Raw genomic sequence first — 20,673 nt, forward strand, 5'->3', positions numbered from 1 at the left:
AAATTTTTTGTAGAGATGGGGTCTCACTATGTTGCCCAGGCTGGTCTCGAACTCCTGAGCTCAAGTAATTCATCCACCTTGACCTCTTAAAGTGCTGGGATGAGGTGTGAGCCACTGTGCTCAGCCTCCTTTGCCCATTTTAAAAATCAAGTTATTCGTTTTTAATTTTGAGGAAGTTATTTTTCTTTTTTCTTTTTTTGTTTGTACTTTTTGTGTCATATTTAAGAAGGCTTTGCCTAAACTGAAGGGCATAGAGACTACTCCTAGGTTTCTCCTAAGAGTTTCATGGTTTTAGCTCTGACATTTAGGTCTATAATCCATTTTTAGTTAATTTTTGTGTATGCTATAAGGAAGGGGTCCAGCACCATAATTTTGCATGTGGCTATTGAGCACCATTTGTTGAAAAAATGATTTTTCTCCATTGATATGTTTTGGCATCATTTTCATATATCAATTGGCCATAAAAGTATGTGTTCACTTCTGGACTTGCAATTGTGTTCCATAGATCTATATTTATATCCTTACTTCAATAAGATACTGTCTTGATTATTGTAGCTTTGTTCTAAGTTTTGAAATCAGGAAGTGTGAGTCCTTCAACTTTGTAATTTTTCAAGAACATTTTGGTTATTCTGGTTCCCTTGCATATTCATATGAATTTTACGATCAGCTTATGTATTTTTTTAAAAGAGCCCGCTGTGATTTTTATGGGGATTGAATTGAATCTTTAGCTCACTTTAGGGAGTATTGCCATCTTAACAATATTGTCTTCTAATCCATGAACATTAAATGTCTTTCCATTTATTTAGGTCTTTTTAAATTTCTTTCAAGGACGTTTTATAGTCTCAGAGGACAAGTTTTACACTTATTTTTAAAACTGTATTCCTTCATGTTTATTATTTTTTAATGCTATTGTAAATGGAATTGTTTCCTTGATTTCATTTTCAAATTGTTCATTGCTGGTGTATAGAAAAAGAAAGATTTCTATATTTTGATCTCATAACCCACAACTTGCTGAATGGATTAGTTCTAATAGTTTTTTATGTGTGTGGATTCCTTATGATTTCCTATATACAAGGTCATGTTATCTGTGAATAGAGAGAATTTTACTCGTTCCCTTTCATTCTGGATGCATTTTATCTCTTCTCCTTACTTAATTGCTCTAGCTAGAATTTCCAGTGTAATGCTGAATAGAAGTAGTGAGAACAGACGTTCTTGTCTTTTTGTGACCATAGGGGCAAAGCATTTAGTGTTTCATAATTAAATATGATGTTAGATGTGAGTTTTTAAATGAATGTCCATTATGAGATTAAGGAAGGTTCCTTCTACTCCTAGTTTGTTGAGTGTTTCATCATGAAAGGATGTTGAATTTTGTCAAATCCAGCAAAATCCAGATCTCACATCTATTGAGGTGATCATGGAGTTTTTGTTCTTTATTTTATTGGTACCATGTATCACATTAACTGATTCTGGGGTTTTATATCAACCTAGAATTCTCGGGACAAATCTCACTTAATCATGGTATATAAATCCTCTTTTTGTGCTAGATTCACTGAACCAGTATTTTGCTGAGGATTTTTACATATGTATCCATAAGACATATTGGTCTACATAAACTACTTTCATTTCCTATAACAGATTTGAAGACAACAACCCATAATATTTTTTATAATATACAACCAAATACAAATTCAAAGATTTTTTCCCTCTTACCTCAACATAATCTGTTTCACAGTGGGCAGAACTTCCAATTTCAAAGACAGTGAAGTTGAGGAGAATGACTTGGCTTTGGGGCTGGTGGATGGTCCACCTACAGGTTCTTTCTCCAGGATACACGTTAGGAAAAAAAGGCGAGCGAATGACCCCTTCTCCAGTTAATTCATCCCCGCAAGCTGTAAGCATAAAAATTATAGTAGTGCTTGTCCAGATATTAATAATTTTATCTCAATTTTATTGCAAAATCTAATACTGCCTGAGGAGATAACCGAATATAACATTTCTATGAGAATATTTTCCACTTAACACTTGAGGACATAAAATGACTAAATTATTTTGAAGAATTAAAATATTACAATCAGGCAAATTAGACATTTAAAAATTATATGTTTCCTTACCGACTTGATAAACAGCTCTGAAACTAGCTTTTTCAACAGAAGCATCTATTTTAAACCTGATCCAGACACTATTAGTAATGGATTTAATGTGAGAGATGGTTCCGTTGCCACAGACTTTTCCAAGTAAGGTTTCACCATCTCGAACCTAAAGAGAAAAATAAAATAGAGATGTAATTCAAATAAAGAAACTTACGTCGGCAATGGTGGCGTTACTTGGAGATGAAAAAATGGCAGATTCAAAATGAATGATAATCCAATTTGAGTTACATATTTCTATTATTTTCTAAAGCAGTAGGTCATTTTTAAGCACAATGCAATAACATGAAATGCTGATAAAATCCTAAGCCAATAAAGTCCAAAAGCACAAGAATTTAAAGAATGTTCTCCTAATAATTTTCACAATGTCAAAGAGGAAATAAATTCACAATTTAGACTACTTGGAAAACAATAAAAAATGAGAATATTACCTATGAAAAAATACACGTGTTAGCCAAATCTGCAATCAAAGAAAGTTATGGACTAAACTACTTTTGCCATTGAAAGAAAAAAGGAAAAAAAAGAAAAGTTGATGAAAGAGAGAGAAAGTAAAAGAATGTAAGGAGTCAACTTAAAAACTTAGAAAGAAGGCCAGGGACAGTGGCACACACCTATTATCTGAGCACCTTGGGAGGCCAAGGTGAGAGGAATTGGAGACAGCCTAGGCAACACAGTGAGACCCAGCTCTATGTACAATTTTTTTAAGTTAGAAAAAAATCCTTAAAATGAGGAAGAATACAGTAAAAAGAAGAGCAAAACTTAATAAATGAAATACAAAATCATGTGGTATTCATAAATACATTCAAGAACTGTTTTTTTGAGGAAGGTTATGGGTGGGGATATAAAAGACAAATCTCTGGCAAGTCTAAAAAGAAAATAAATATATAAGCACAAATATACAAAATTGAAAATGACAAAGACACAGATACTAAGATTTTTTTAAATGTGAAATCTATGTACAACTCTATGAATGTTTTTAATGGGTTATTTTCAGAAAAAGTATAACATTAAAATTATCTGAAGGAGAAGAAAAATAAGATTTGAACAGACATAAGTCATAAATAAAATTGAAAACATTATCAAATAATTATTCCCATCCCACCCTCAACCCCCAAAAAGAAAAATCTCCCATAAGATGCTCTACTTAGTACATTCTTTAAAACTTTTAAGGAAGAGATAATTCCCATGTATAATTTATTCTAAGCCATCCTCAAACATAGAATAATTTCCAAATAATTTTTGTTAGAACGCTGTTACCAAATCCCAACATAGATTATAGAAATAAAAACTATAGACTGATGTCACCTATTAATATAGATACACAAATCCTAAACACAGTTCTAGAAAAATAAATTCACAGTCCATTGCCAGCTTATATACCAGATCAAATATGGGAATAATAATAGTGCAAGAAAGGTTAGAAATTATAAACTATAAATTAACTTCCTCAGTACATCAGATAAGATAAGCCATATGATAACTCCATAAATTCAAAAAACATTGTTAGCATTCCTGTTTTATTAGAAAAAAAAGGAATTTCCTTCATATAATAGACTACTGATTTTAAATCAATAACCAGCTCTTTTTTTTTTTTTTTTTTTGAGATGGAGTTTCGCTCTTGTCACCCAGGCTGGAGTGCAATGGCGTGATCTCAGTTCACCGCAACCTCTGCCTCCTGGGTTCAAGTGATTCTCCTGCCTCAGCCTCCCAAGTAGCTGGGATTACAGGCATGTGCCACCACGCCCAGCTAGTTTTGTATTTTTAGTAGAGACGGGGTTTCTTTATGTTGGTCAGGCTGGTCTCAAACTCCCAATCTCAGGTGATCCACCCACCTCGGACTCCCAAAGTGCTGGGATTACACGCGTGAGCCACTGCGCCCGGCCAAATAGCCAGCTCTTATAGTATAGTGGCCATGAATACAGTCTATGGACTTGGGTTCAAAACCTACCTCTGTCACTTACAAACCACCTCACTTAATAGCCTTGAGCAAGTTACTCTATCTAAGCTCATGGGATTGTTGAAGCAAACAGATGAAACAATAGTGTGAATTCCTTAGCCAAATGTTTGGTAATGGAAAATGTTGACTAAGGATAGCTGTTGTTATTCTGGACATTTTTGGAGGTGAAACACTGGAGGCTTGCTACTATGAGCAGGAATTATTCGATGGATATATATACCGCCGCTGTTCAGTACAATTATTCTGAAGGATACAGACATCCAAATATTAATTCATTCACTTCATTAACATTATCAAGGCATGAATAAATGCCAGGAACTGTGCAGGTGACAATACCATGAAACAGTCACTGCTCACAAGGAACTTACAATAGGCAGGAACATTTTTGAAAAGTATGATGACTGCGGTTTTTGGGGAAGCGCAGGATACTTCATTGTTACCTAACCAATGGTTCTCAGCAGGGACCACAATCTAGCATTTGGGAAATGTGTGAGAGTACCTTTTTGGTTTTGTGTTAATTATTATCACAGCAATCATGGGGCATTACTGGCATTTAGTAAGTAGCAAGGGACCAAAGACACGAGGCAGCCTGAAATGTGAGCGTCACACACAACAAGAATTCTCCTGAACCTGTGTGACATTCACATAAGTGAAAGTTCTGTTATTGGGTATAAAATCTCGCTCTATTTTACATATTAAGCGCAAAGTAGTTTTGTGCAATTTTAATGCATACTGAATTTTCCAGGATTACAAGTAGAGTGTAAATTGAAGATTCTTTCTCCTGGAAATCTGTCAAGAGTTAGTCACTATTTCTGAAAAATTAGTCACCAACCCACATAACTGTGTCAGCCTGCATTTGTACTGTCATATTCATAGCAATTTGGGGTCCAGACAATCAACTGCTTTATTTTGTCTTCAAGTACAGCTTGCCTAGGTTTTCAGATACTGAAATAAATGTGATTTTATTCTGTTACTCTATTTTTTCTTAATGTTATTCTTACAACTTTACATATTTTTAAATATAATGTGTCTAGTGGGGTTAAATCAGTGTATTTCATTTCTGAATAATCAAGGAGTGATATTAAAAAGTCTTAAATTGTAGAGAACCACTGGGTTAACCAAAGACTCTGAACTCACCCAGGGGATTATGGAAAACTCAGTGGAAATAACATTTAAGCGGAGACTTGAAAGCTGAGTAGGAGTTATCTAGGCCAAGGCAAACAGGTAGTAAAGAGAAGATTTTTCTTTGTTTTCTTTTTTTTTTTTTTTTTTTTTTTTTTTTGAGATGAAGTCTCACTCTGTCACCTAGGCTGGAGTGCAGTGGCACGATCTCGGATCACTGCAACCTCCGCCTCCCAGATTCAAGCAATTCTCCTGCCTCAGCCTCCCAAATAGCTGAGACTGCAAGGGCACGCCACCACGCCCAGCTAATTTTTGTATTTTTAGTAGAGATGGGGTTTCACTATGTTGGCCAGGCTGGTCTTGAACTCTTGACCTGAGGTGATCTGCCTGCCTTGGCCTCCTAAAGTGCTGGGATTACAGATGTGAACCACCGTGCCTAGCCAGTAAAGGAAAGATTTTAAAAGGATGATATTCAAAGTTGGTAGGGATGTGGCGACAGTTACTCTCATCCATAACTGGTGGAAGTATAAAGTTCTGGAAAATAAACTGACAATATGTATTAAGGGTATTTCACTTCTAACACTGTATCACAAGGATATTCAAGATGCAGGAAAAGACATATACAGATCCACATCAAAGTCTGCTCTATAATAACAATAATTGAAACCATTCTAAAGGCCTAATAATAGTGAGGTGATTAAATAAATAATGATTCAGCCATATGATAGAGTCTGACACAGACATGAAAAATCACATGCCTCTCCACTGACTCAGGCTCATACTAGTTCCTTTCTCTGAGCTCTTACAACATCTGTAACACAAATTTCACATATTGTAGTAAAGCTATGCTAAATTTATCTCTAACCAAACAGTAAGTCTCTGAGGGAAGGGAAAAATTTCTGTTTGCCCTTCAGCATCTAATAAAAAAAACTTTGCAAATAGGTATTTGACAAATTCTTGTTGATTCATTAATTTTAAGGTACAGTATGATGGTTCAGTTTTTGTTAGAGATACAGACATACTGCAGTTCTTGAAAACTAGAAAGCATGAAACACAAAGTTATCTTCCTGCTCTCTAATCCTCCAGGGTTCTATTTGCTTCTTCGAAGATTGTAGTCTCTCTTTTCTATTTCGCCCATTAGAAGATGACAAGAAGGAAAAAAAACAGCCAAATAGCATCACTGCAAGCTAAAGTGGGCCATTCCCCTGGGCCCCAACTAATGAAATTCAAGGATTTTAACAAGGAGAAAGGCAGCTGTAGTCCAAATGTTTTAAGAGGAACTCATAGGGCTCAAGGGCCCTGAACCTAGAAGGTGCAATTGATTTTGGCTCTGTTTCTCTCTCTCTCTGTGGAAATGAAACCTTATTAATTCTGAAAGCCTGTATTCTCCCTGGATTCTAGACATGGCAATACTTTAACTACAACTCCTTTGAAAGAGACACTAGAATAAAATTCATCAAATGTTCTAAAGTGACCCTAGCTACCTCTGAAGCATGTATTGCGTTCAATAATCTAGGACTTGATAAATTTGCACCCCCACCAAAAAAAAAAAAAAAAAAACCTCTTTCCTTTATGCTCATGAACTGGGATGGATGGCATTATTTTACATAGTTATTCACTTCCCTTCCTGTAAAAGGATTGACTATCTATGCTTTTTGCCATGTGACTTGCAATACTGCCATACGGAGAATTAATACATAATCTTCCCATTGACTATGGGCTTAGCCATAGGACTTGCTTTGCCCAACAGAGTGTGAGCAAAAGTGATACACCAATTTCCACATAGAAGCTTTGGAAGTCACTGCATAATTCAACCATCTTTTACTTTTCCCCCAGCAAGCTCTAGAGCCTGGGTCTCAGGACGGTGAAGGCACAGGAAACTGACATAGGAAACAGAACTGCAATGGATCCAAAACTAACCTGCTATTGTGAGCAAAGAATAAACACGTTATTGAAAGCCACAGACGCTTTTGGTTTGTTATTGTTTTTGATTTTTCTGGTTGTTGCTACTAATTGTTTGTTATTGCAGCATAACCTAGAGAAAGATGACCAATATCTGAGTCTGGTTTGTGCAGAAAAACTGAATTTTTCTAAGTCAGGTGAAGCCATGCCGTGATCACTTGCAGAGGAGTCACAGTGAATTCATTCTTTTTAGTGAATCGCATTTGCAAGGAAACAACAAGAACCAATTCAAAATTCTAGTGTTTCACGGACCAGGTTCAGATTTCTTGTGGATTGCCTTATTCGTCCAGGAAACACTGAAGGTTTCAGGTCCCAGGATGTTCAGCATATGGTGTATTCCAAATGGCTTCCAATTTTTACATTCATCAGATTAAACTAGTTCCAGAAGAGAAACTACTCATAAAAAAAAACGAGTTTTTGTAAAGGAATGATTTTCTATAGAGAGAACTAAAATTTACTTTGCTGAGAAACACCATTTACATGAAATTTTAAATGTGGGCTTTTGAGCCTAGTGAGTCGTGAGCTTTAACATCTGGAATGAGTCAAGTCCCAAAGCCATGTCTTAATACGCACGCTCATTTGTCTTCCTCTGCTATGAATCCAGATTTGGTTTTATACTATAATTTCTAAAATAATAAGCATTAAATTTTAATTCAAAGCAATTCAAATATGCTGGCACTTACGCTTAGTCCATCTGAGAGCTGAAAAGAGAACCACACCGTATGGTAGTGTTTAACATGTGGCTTTCTGTGAAGTGAGCTTCAGGCTGACATACATCTTAGCTAAGTAAAGACTGGACCTTAGGGAGGAGCCTTGGGCTAATCTGGGTGAGCAGGAGAGGAATGAGGCCCTGCCCCCAGTGAGAGAATAAGGGGTGAGGAGGATAAGAGATGAGAGAAGCCATTTAGGATCTCAAAATCATTTACTTTGGTTATTATCCTTTGTTCTTTATTAGTATGTTTCATGATTTTTAGAGTTGGTATTTTAAACCTTTTCATGCCTTGTGAAAGTGTCCCTTCTAACATCTCTATTAATAAATATAATCTGATCTTTTAAGATCTGATATTCTAAAATCAAGAACACATGAATAAGTTTTACCTAGAAGTGCCTTCCCTCATGATTGCAAACTCCAGTAGGTCACCTTCTCCTGCCCTCTCTTCTCCTCCCCATCATCATCATCATCATCGTCATTATCATCATGATGTTAACTTTAGTGAGCATTCATTGTGTGACAGGCACAATGTGACAAGGAACATTCTAATTGTTTGTCCTTGCATATAGAATATAACCCAGGCTCTTTATCTCGGTCTACAAGACCCTTCAGGGTCTAGCTCCTGCCTAACTCATATTTCTCTTTTCCATCCCTGTGTGATTCCAGCCACCCTGGTCTATTTCCAATTATTTTAGTTTATTTTTTCTGACTTCAGTCTCTAGGGCTGGGTTAGCACCACTACCTGGAGTCCTCCTTCTCTCAGTTCTTTGCATTGCTCACTCCTCATCTGCAGATCCTACATACAGGGTCTACAGATGAGAATGAGCTAGCCATACAAAGACCCTTGAGAAGCAAACTCAGACTGCTCCACTGAAGTCAGTAGCTCTGTTCTTTTCTCTTACAGTACTGTTTCTTTCCTGCCCATACTTATCTCCTCTTGAAATTATGTAGTGTGTGCTTACTTATTTAATATCTATATTACATACCCATTCCCTAGCATGGTGACTGAAACCTAAGTGGTTTGATAAATATTTAGAGAATGAATAGATAAATGAATGAATGGTCTCTTTCTACTAGTACTACTAGTACTATCCCTATTACACATGAGGAAGCTGTGGCTTACAGGTATCTTGCCTTTAGTAACACAGAGAGCTGAAGGGTTTTATCATGTTTCCATGCAATATTGTTTCCATTTTATATCAGAAAAGTACCAGCCATACCCTCTATTTGACCTAGGAATTTGTAATGTTCTTGATAATGGTCCATCCATATCCTCTTATTCCTGCTTACTGCTCTACATCACGCATGTTCAATGGGTTTGCAGCTTCTACATGAGCATGCAACTCCTTCAAACACAGCAAAAATGTATTCTCTACAAGTTCTCACAACTCCAAATTAGGTGTTCTATCATCTCTCAGTCTGTTTCCTGCCTCCCACTACTCCAACCTACAGAATTATTTCACTAGAGGAATGGCCTATCTTCTTCCTTCACTAAAAAGCATCACGATGGTCCAGCAGTTGTGGAAAAACTGTGCTCACAACAACAGAGCTCAGAGTCTAACCAAATGTTCCTAGTCTCTGTCAAAACCCTAAATCCAATATGCTCAAGAATGCAAACTCTTTTTTTTTTTTTTTTTTTAGATGGAGTCTCACTCTGTCACCCAAGCTGGAGTATAGTGGCGTGATTTCAGCTCACTGCAACCTCCACCTCTTGGATTCAAGTGATTCTCCTGCCTCAGCCTCCCAAGTAGCTGGGATTACAGGTGCCCACCATCACACTTGGCTACTTTTTTGTATTTTTAGTAGAGATGGGGTTTCACACCACGTTGGCCAGGCTGGTCTCAAACTCCTGACCTCAGGTGATCCACCCACCTCAGCCTCCCAAAGTGCTGGAGTTACAGGCATGAGCCACCATGCCTGGCCAAGAGTACAAACTCTTGAGGATCTCCCCCTTTTCCCTTTATCCTACCCTCTCTAGAAAGATATTTTTCTGACCTACAATTAATTTCAATATGTACTTAACTGAAAAACACAATACTATTCAGCCTATGTGGTGTGTTTGCTTGCTCCAGGCCTTATTCTTTTTCTGACATTTAGGTGTGTAGTCTGTGAATTGCAGCCATGAGACTCTGAGCAGCAGGTCCACTTGAGGGAAGCAAGTGCCTCATGCATTCCACAAGTCCTGGCTCTCCCCCACCCAATCCCAAGCTCATAGTGGAATCATCTCAATGCCTAAGAAGTCACAAAAGGAGGTCCTTTGTGAATTTGCATTCATCTAAAGACATGCAGGAGATGCGGGAGGGCTGCTTAGGCTGAAGCAGGAGTGTAGCGGGGAGGGAGAAGTAGAGGGAAGGATGCAGGGGAAGGTGGTGAAAGAAAAGGTTCAGACGGAGGACAGACCTTCCTGCCTCAGCTTCTGCTCTCCTGCTTTCCCAATTATTTTGGTTCTCTTCTTTTAAATCTTAAAGATTTTACCAGGGAGTTGAGTTTCATCACATCTCACAGGTTTTGATACACAGCATTTCCTGTTTGTCATTTTCTATGTAGTCTTTCATTTTTTATTTCTTTCTCAAGCCAATGATTATTTTGGAGAGTTCACATACTTCCACACACTTGGGCATTTTAAAATGTTTATAAATAATCTTGGGTTATGTTATATTGTGAAGAGATGTACAATTTCTGCTTTGTTAATTTACTGGGATTGCCATAGAGGTCTAAAATATGATGAATTAGGGTTCAACGCCACTTGTAGAACAGGTATATTCCCTAGATTTCAGAAATAAAATTCAATGTAAATTACTCCTTCCTGTCTTATTGATTATATTTTTCAACTTTTCTGTTTGTATTTGCTTTCCACATCTAAGAAACAACAACTTCTCGAAAGCCCTTCTCTTTCTCCAGAAGGCACATCGCTCTCCCTGCGTCTCTTGTAGAGCCCCCTTTCTGGTTCCTCAGTGTCTCTGGGGAGAGGAGGCAGATACTTTGGGATTGGTCAAGGAGATTTGATGGGTGAACAATTCTACTCATTTCCCTTCGTATCCTACCTCAAGCCTTCACCTTAACATCGTATAGCCTTCTGAATTTATTATTCAGCCTACAACTTCCCTTCTCTGGGATTTAAAATTAAACTTTCATTACTACCTATGTGTCCTTCACTCAGAGTTCTGATGGCTTAAATCACTTATGAAATATTAATGAGAGGTGCTGCTTTTTATTCTGGAAAGATGCTTCCATCACCTTCATTGAACTATTCTATACAATTTAAAAGCTCTCTTCGACAAAAACAGATGAACTAACAATTGATCTGTTCTTGTATTCATTCATTTGTAGCCATGTCACATCTTCCATGGGTAATGTATATCTTTAAAAGTAGAAACTTCACTTAAGAGAGATATATAAATCTAAGAATTAACATGTTAATGTGTGTTCCTTGTGTTAAAAAAAAAGAAAGATATGCTACACTGGGTCAATATCATTCTTATCTTTTGCAGTTAAAATCTATTCTTTAATGAGTGCTTATGGAACTCTCTTACTGAGCAAAAGTAAGTCTTTCAAAACCACAGTATCTGTGAAAGATACACACTCAGCAATGGTACCTTAATCTTCATTTGAAGGATATGTTTGCCTGGCAACCAAGGCACCTAAAACCACACAAAGAGAAGATCTAGGATTCTTAAAAGTACACCTATTCACATGCAAAGTAAATGTCCTTAGGATCATTCTCCCACATCTCTGTAGAATTTCTTTTCTCTTCTCCACTCTTTCTAAAATTTTGGGTGGACTGCTTTTACTCATCAATGGAGTCAGTAAAGGACAAAGTCAACCCCCCTCTAAACCACCAAAGTATTTGAAATACCAACATTCTTTTTTTAATTCTTTTTCATAAATATTTCATTTTTTAGAGATAGCTTTAAAAAATGAAGACATCATTTTAGGGAACAATATATTGAGTCATAATAATGTCATTAGAATTTGGTTCCTGTATCACTTTCTTGTATGACCACTATCTGAAGAACAACAAGAGAAGTGAATATACTTTTTAGAAAACGGGTTCAGTTCACAAATTTTCCCAATGGATAGAGATGATTTAAAGACAAGAGCTTTAACCAAAGTCAATGTACGTCCATCTAGAATCTCATAGAGGTACATCTAAGTTTTACTTTGACAATAACTAGAGTTTGACCTTTGTGAGCCTCAATTTTCTCATTTGTAAAATTAAGGTCCTTGCTGATGCCAAAATTCTACAGGTTGGTTGTATTCCTTTAGGTTGGTTGGTCAAAGATATAATATAAAAATCTATCTATTAATATTTAAATCACCGTACATGACCTCTCCTTCTGAATAATACAGTTTTTTTTTCCATCAACAATCCTTGAGGGAAATTTGGTCAAGACTTTGAGGATATGTGGTTACATCAGAATGTAGATACCTCGCTGGCCAACTGTGACAGCCACATCGGCTGTCTCTGAACTGATAAATTCAAGGCTAGAGTTAAAACTTTGTTCCAGAAAAACCTTGCATTTGCATTATTTTTTTTAACACTTCAAGCTTCTTTTTATCATTTATTTCCTTGATTCTACCCCCAAAGTTTAGAGAAATAGATAGGACATCTTACTGAAGTAGGAACTGAAAGATCCAGATAAAGAATTGTCCAAGGTTATACGGTCATCTGACAAATGAACTAAAATAAGAAGTTAGGTGAACTAACTTTAATCCCCTTCTGGCTACAAAACATTCCACCATTCTGGTTTATGAAATTAAAACTTCCAAAGCCAGTTTTATGATTTTTTGTGCAAACTTTTCAGAAGAATTCAGAGGAGTTCATGGAACCGCTCACTGAAATTCAGTTCTAGTGTTCTGCAAAGCCTGAGAGGATGAACCATTCAGAGGTACTGATAGTTCTTTAGAACCAGAGAATCACCATGAAGGCTTTAACAGAAAGGGCCCCAAATTTCCCTGAAAATTATAGTTACATTCTTGCGTATCTGAGAAAATCATGATGCTCGGCTTCATGTTTTAGTCTCGTGATCGGAGAGCCAGGTATGGAATTGGGTAATTCACAAGACCTTCCTCCCTATGGAAGATGAGACACCTCTTGTAGTCAACGTCACACAATTGCATTTCTGTTCTTACTGAAGATAAGTATAACTAGATCTCCTAAATTTGAATCCCAGCTCCATTACTTGCTAGACATGTAACCATGGACAAGTAACTTCTCTGGGCTACAGTTTCCTAAGATTAAAACAGAAATAATAATGGTTGTTGAGAGGATTCAATGAAATAACTCACGAAAAGCACTTACCACACATGGCAGGCAGTAAGCTGACAATGATCATTATCTATTTAATTTGTTATACTATTTTAAAGTCTTATAATAGTGCCTGGAGTACAGGAAGCACTCTCTAATTGAAAGCTATTTTTGCTGTTCTCAAAAGTTAAAAAAAAAAGGGTTAATAATTTAATTTTGATTTACATAAAAATATTTGAAATTCTTCCGTAGTGTAAAACTTTAATATACTTTATAAGAGACTTTAGAAAACCTAAATTGAATAAATATACCCATTCTGAAATGATCTTAAATAAAAATTTCTGGATTAAAAAAAATGCAGGCCGGTTGCAGTAGCTCATGCCTGTAATCCCAGCACTTTGGGAGGCTGAGGCCGGAGGATCACCTGAGGTTGGGAGTTTGAGACCAGCCTGCCCATCATGGAGAAATCTCATCTCTACTAAAAATGCAAAATTAGCCGGGCGTGGTGGCACATGCCTGTAATCCCAGCTACTCAGGAGGCTGAGGCAGAAGAATTGCTTGAACTCAGGAGGCAGAGGTTGTGGTGAGCTGAGATCATGACATTGTACTCTAGCCTGGGCAACAAGAGCGAAACTCCGTCTCAAAATAAATAAATACATACATACATACATACATACATACATACTGCTGTAGTGCTATGGTCAATGCACTTCAACTAAGTCTAGCTAGATCTTATGCTAAAGTTCTGTTTCCTCTGTCTAAATGTAGAAAGAAGAGGACAGGAGGTCACATAGGTTTTTCCTGGATGAATAAATGGATTTAACTTGCACAAACAAACAAAATTGTAAATTCTTCTCTAGTTTATGTAAAATGATTATGCCCAAAAAAACAATGTTTTATCTTGCTCAACACTTTAATTTGTGGCTTGACCAATAATTTAGCATAAGAAATACCAGGCCCAGCAAACAAAAACAGCCTGTCTCTGTTTCAAATATTCCCTGTATTACAATCATTACCCACACTTAAATCAAAATTAAAGATTTCTGGAGGAGAGCAAGCAGAATAAAGGAAGGAAAAACCCTAACCTCCAAAACAAGGGTCATTCAACACTTAAACTTTATTACCACTTGACTAGCTGGGTCATCTGGGCAAATCCCTTCACTTCCCTGGGTTGAGTTCTTTCCTGTATTAATTATTCTAGATAATAAATCTGTATCTTATTAGTACATCCTATCAGCCTTATTTGCCTGCACCTTAGTCATTAGAGCTTAGTTATTATTGTATTTCTAACAAGCTCTCAGGTATTCTGGCTGCTGGTGGCCCAACAATCTTTTGAAGACCACCACTCTGCAGAATATAAAAATGTTGATGAATGTCATCTAAGGGCGATTGAGTAGTGAAAGTTACCTCAATGTAATTCTGAGAACTGTCACTCTGGCATTGCAGCTCCACGTGGGTGAAGTTGATTTGTATTTGTTCTCCCTGGGGCTGCTTCATCATATAGACGCATTGCCTGGTGTGAGTGAAAGGCCCAGACAACTCAGGCAAGAAGAGTTCACCCTCTGGGTCCGTGTAGTTCCCACCACAACGCAGATCCGCTAAGAACAGGGAAGAGACGAACAGGTCATGGCAATGGCATTGCTCTGGCTTGCAGGCATTGGATCCAATTTCTAAAAATTTACCCACACACACACACACACAAGCACATATCCATTTTATTCACCCTCTATAGGCTTGTGCCTCTAATTTTAAGATTTTCAGTTTGATGTGTTGTGGGACATCTCTGTAGTGGCTTAAAGAAATAGATGCAGAGATGTGTGATCTAGCTTCCAATCTGCCATTCTCTTCTATAAGTTGCTTTTTAAATACATTAATGCTCTGCTTCATTTCAATAAGATTTGAGATGGTTATTAAAAACATGTAACAAAATAAACTACATAACTGTATACATGAAGCAGATTAAAGAAAAAATGAATACAGAATAGCAAGATGTAGCCAGGGGGAGTTGATTTGCACGGAAAACAATTGAAAGGGGAACAGGAGGTTGGCACCAGATTCCGTGGAAAGAAAAGGAAATGAAGAAAGGGGACAAGTAAAGATGTTCTTTGTTACTCTTCCTGATATTGAAACTTAAAAGGTACTTTTTCTGAGAACATTTATTAAGGGCACAATAATAGATGTCATAAACAAAATCCTCCACTTCCCTAAAAAAATCCAAATCATAGAGTATTTCCTGTGTTTTGTTGTTTGTTTGTTTTAAGGTATCAAAGCAACTGAGGTCCTAACAGCTAATAGTATTTGGCTGGAAGTGAAGCTCTAGAGTCTGGGACACTGTGATGCTGGAAGCCAGCCCCAGCCCCTGTGCAGCTGGACTTGACCCGAGGATAAAATCCAGAGAGACTGCACTGCTCGCATGCACAAACCTCTCTCACAACTAAACATCAAACACCACGAGGGACCTGGTGCCCTGAATTATTTAAGTTTGGGTGCCTCATACATCTTTATCATGATGTGGATCCCATAATTTAGGGATCAAAGGGTATTGCAGTATTAATAATAGAGCATTGGGAAGATAAAGAAAAAATATGAAGCTATGAGAGAAATATTTATAAAGAAATGTTCTTGGTCTAAGACAGTCAGTCATCCTCTGAATCACATTAAAATATAAAACAGATGTAAGCATAGCATTGGCCTTCAAATCCCTCTTAAGCCCCCAACTGGTAGGTTACTTACAAGGTGATGTTAAGTAGGTGATATGGAAGCCTTGGTCACTAATCTGGGAGTCTGAATGGAAGTGAATTCTGGCAAAGGGGCCAGTAGTCTGGAGCGGTGGGACAGAGAAAGTGGTGCAGAACTTCCCAAGAAGGGGGTCCTGATACAAAGGACCATCTCGAATCTAAAACAAAAGGATGAATCATTAAGCTCAAAGTGGTCAGATTTTTAACAAACTAGGTCACTTTGGATATTAACTTCATAAAATCTATCATTTAAAAGTGATCGCTCAAGGAAGTTTCCCCATCACATCCAAATGTAACTCATGGCTGAGGTTCAGCAAAGTGTGTCTCCTTCTCCCATCACCCCAATGCCTTCTCTCTGTCTGAATTTTTTTTTTTTTTTTTTTGAGATGGAGTCTTGCTCTGTCACCAGGCTGGAGTGCAGTGGTGCGATCTCAGCTGACTGCAACCTCCACCTCCCAGGTTCAAGCAATTCTCCTGCCTCAGCCTCCCAAGTAGCTGGGACTACAGGCACCTGCCACCACGCCCAGCTATTTGTTGTATTTTTAGTAGAGACAGGGTTTCACCATGTTGGCCAGGATGGTCTCAATCTCTTGACCTCATGATCTGACCATCTCGGCCTCCCAAAGTGCTGGGATTACAGGCATGAGCCACCGCGCCTGGCCTGTGACTGGATTTCAATTCCAAGGCTGGACATATAGTTAGAATTTTTGTCATGATGTTACTAATCAAAGATCTTTCCCTTTTGATTTTTTTCATTATAAATTCTTAGTGATCTAGAAGAAAATGAATATAAGCAAAGAAAACAGAAGAAGGAACACCATTGATGCCAACTGATTCATAACTTGGTCCAGGTTTTCAGAAGGGTCAGAGGTAGAGAGGAAGTGCCATCAGATTAGACACAACAGAAAGACAGGTTAGTGAATTTAAAAATGCAACTTTGATAGTAAGTAAGTACTACAATGATAATGACGTGACCTTAGAAATCCTTTTCTAATTGTTGGTTTTTAATCTATGATGTAATCATGTCAATCTCTCTATAATTTTGTTGTAATTGCAAATTCTATACTATATAAACCACCGAGGAGTCAATGAACTAAAGAATATTTTAATATGGTCAATTTTGTCTATTCAAATTACTTTTCTTACTGGGATCAAAGTTAGATGGCAGCATAACTTTATTCTAATATTTAACTGGTTCTTTGAAATACTGTAGTTTAAAGAGAAATGAGAGACATTTCAATATTGTCAGAGTGGTTGACACTTTCTACCATATGGTCTCCAGAAATGAATGTGTAGGAATTTTTTAAAGCCTCTAATTTTAACTTGATGGAATTTATTGAAAATTAATTTCAAGATAACTCACTTTTCTGTCAACATTTAAATGACCATTTTGCAGAAATTTTCCAGAGAGAGACAGATCTTCCAGTCATTCCCAAAGGTTTCAAATCCATTATTGCTGAATTACTAATGACTTTTACTTGCAGAGCCCCTTTTTGACACCACATCCTTCTATCCTTTATGAATAATTGCATTGACTCTATTCCTCTCTAATGGACTTGGAAATGCGTATTGTCTTTTTCACACTGCTGCAAGGGGCTGAGATTTATGGTGATAAAAAATACAGGACAACCTGGGAACTCAATCTTCTCCATTATCTTGTCAGTCTACAAATGAAGAGCAACACTTTTTGATGCACCTACGTACAAACGGCATTTGAATATAAGAGCCTTTTCTCCTCCTCCATATTTTAATCTTTTACTAATGGGTAGGCAGAAGGAGCTTCGGCTGATACCTCTCCTCTCAGTAATAATGATTACTTTATTCCAGGAACCTAACCCAGTTCAACACAATCACTATTATTTTTCTTTTTCTTTTTTTTTTTTTTTTTTTTTTAGACAGAGCCTCACTCTGTCACCCAGGCTGGAGTGCAGTGGCACGATCTCAGCTCACTGCAACCTCCGCCTCCCGGGTCCAAACGATTCTCCTGCCTCAGACTGACGAGTAGCTGGGGTTACAGGCACCCGCCACCTCGCCCAGCTAGTTTTTGTATTTTTAATAGAGATGGGTTTTCACCATGTTGGCCAGGCTGTCTCCAACTCCTAACCTCAAGTGATCTGCCCACCTTGGCCTCCCAAAGTGCAGGGATTTCAGGCTTGAGCCACCACACCCGGCCTCTTCGTGGAATGCTACAGTTAAGCTGTGAAAGACCTTGCCAGTTTACCACAGACAACTGAAGGTTTGAATCTGCATTGAAGGAGATGGCTATTACTGAGTGTTTATTTCATAAATTCTGCATTCTCATGGCAGGGGTGTGAGCTTCCAGGTAACACCATAGCAGGGCAAGGTAATCTGTTTCCCAGATTCAAATGGAACCCAGAAGAAGAAGCAACAAACAGGCACAGTTAAAAATAGAGACTTTGCAAGAGTTAGATATTGACTGACTATTGAGAAACACACCTAACTACAGCTAATATTTTGGGGTCATCCATGGGCATGGCTAGACCATAGTGCCCTGAGTCCTAATCATATTGTGATATGTTCTATCTAAATATAATTATTTACCTCAAGGTAATCTTTGTTGCAGTCATCATGGTGCTCGAGGCTCAAGGTCCCAAAAGTAAATGTTACCAGGAGGTCAGGACTAGTTACAACAATCCAGACACAATCTCTTCCTGGGGGATAGTTTCCAGGATACCCCGGAGACTTAATAGAACCGTAAGGACCAGTCAGGATACCTCCACACTCTAAAATAAGAGGGAAAAATAATGTTACATTTGTATAGATGCTATAATTTATGGAGAATGATCAGAGCCCTTGGCGTAAGAAGCCAAACTTTGTTTAAATAACTATGAGCAGTTTTAGACACCCTCATAAATTAAAAAAGATTTACATTTTCCAGTTTTATAAAGTTACAAGTCTAGAAGTATCAATTGATAAACAAATGAATCACCCATGTGTCAAGCTCTGTGCTTGTGAGCCATCACATGCTGACACTATTTAAACAGGGCTGAACCATCTGAGCGATGAATACCAGGATTGTAGAGTCATCTTTTTCACTTTGATGATATTAATTTCTGTATGTGAAATTGTAAAGAATTCCAGAACTTCTGCCAACCTCTGTGTGTTTCAGCAAACCAGATCACTTTGCATATTAAAATGGTTAAGTGTGACATAATTTTCATTTGAGAAGGTTTCTTAATACTATCATATAGTTAAAACATTCATTTAATAAATGAAAAAATTCAAATGTCTGTAGTGATCGAGCCACTGTTCCAAGAATGGAGCAAGTGAGGGACTGAGCCAGGCTTTCTGATGCTGACCCCACTACCATCCTCATTATACCACATCGGCCCCCTAACGTTGCTGACTAGTGACTGGAAGAACCTGCTCTTCATTAATACCCACATTTATTTAACAAAGAATCTGTAGTGGCTTAGATTTCTATGAGAAATGCTACTGTAAATCAAATGACAGAAACACTAAATAATAAAAATCCAGACTGTAGTAATACAGACATTAGAAATAAGTGAGATAGGTAACATTTTAGATGTGTAAGATATGAAATTTACATAGCTATACAGGTTGTTCAAATAAAAATTTTCCTGCCAAAGTAAAAAATGAAACAAATTAGTTCCATGAGTCTCATTGTTCCTACTGAGAAAACATCTCAGTTCTTCAGAAAAAGAGGCATTTCCCAATGTAATACTTTAAAAGTTACCAGTTTTAAATGCATAAAATAGCATAAGCAAAGGAAAAGATTAATGACAAAATAAGAAAAAATGCAATATGCAACAAAGAGTTATTATCCTAAAATATAAAGAACTTCTAAAAAGAATAGAGACATGAATAGAGTGCACTGAAAAAAGTTCAGATGTCTCTTAAACATATGAAAGGATGTTCAACCTCACTCATCACAAAGAAGGAGCAAATAAAACCTTAATTGAGATGCCATTTCTTACCCCTCAGAATGTTAAAAATGCAGAGTTTTGAAAACAAATTATTGGAGAGGCTGTGGGGACATAGACATTCTCACACATTGCTAGAGAATGCAAGATGGTACGATCACTACATAAGAGAATATAGCAATACCTAGCAAAAACCTATGCATTTCATTTTCTTTTGACCAAACAATACTACCATTGGAAAGATATCGCAAAGGTACATTGGCAAAAATACAATACGACAAGTGAATAAGGTATTTTGTTGCAGTAACATTTGGAATTCCAAAAGATTGGAAACAAGACTGGGTGTGATGTCTCATGCTTGTAGTCCCAGCACTTTGGGAGGCTGAGGCAGGAATATCATTTGAGCCCAGTTTAAGAACGGCCTGGGCAGCCATCGCTACAAAAAATAAAAAAATAAAAATTAGCTGGGTATGGTGGTGCGTGTCTGTAGTCCCAGCTACTGGGGAGACTGAGGAAGGAGGATCACTTGAGCCTGGGAGGTTGAGGTTGCTGTGAGACACGATCGCACCCTGTCTCAAAAATAAAAAACAAAAGACTAAAAAGAAAATGGCCAAAGGACTGGAAACAAGCCAAATGTCCGTCAATAGAGTATTGATTGAACAGAAAATGAGACATCACATAGCGGCATACTATGCTCTGATTATGGAGTAATCTCCAGGATATATGATGTGAAAAAAAGCCAACTATAGACCAGTGTGTATATTATGCTCCCTTTTATCTAAGAAAGAGGAAAATACAATTATATGAGATCATTTGCTTAATTTTTAAATAGAAGGATAAATCAAAAACTAATAAAAACTGTTCTCTAATGGGGGAGAAAGA

The 20,673-nt window shown here is 37.3% G+C and overlaps 1 protein-coding gene across 2 annotated transcripts in view; it reads right to left on the reverse strand.

Moving 5' to 3' along the window:
- CUBN (cubilin) overlaps positions 1–20,673 on the reverse strand; it is a 305,846-nt gene that overhangs the window by 245,750 nt on the left and 39,423 nt on the right. For both annotated transcript variants that reach the window (NM_001081.4, XM_011519708.3), the window contains exons 15-19: positions 18,449–18,630; positions 15,882–16,044; positions 14,556–14,746; positions 2,112–2,256; positions 1,711–1,889 (exon numbers count right to left, since the gene is read on the reverse strand). In NM_001081.4, the coding sequence (NP_001072.2) occupies positions 1,711–1,889; positions 2,112–2,256; positions 14,556–14,746; positions 15,882–16,044; positions 18,449–18,630 (860 nt within the window). The remainder of the gene's footprint in view (positions 1–1,710; positions 1,890–2,111; positions 2,257–14,555; positions 14,747–15,881; positions 16,045–18,448; positions 18,631–20,673) is intronic.

This window comes from Homo sapiens, chromosome 10 (genome assembly GCF_000001405.40).
Source record: "Homo sapiens chromosome 10, GRCh38.p14 Primary Assembly".
In the NCBI taxonomy this organism is placed as follows: Eukaryota; Metazoa; Chordata; class Mammalia; order Primates; family Hominidae; genus Homo; species Homo sapiens.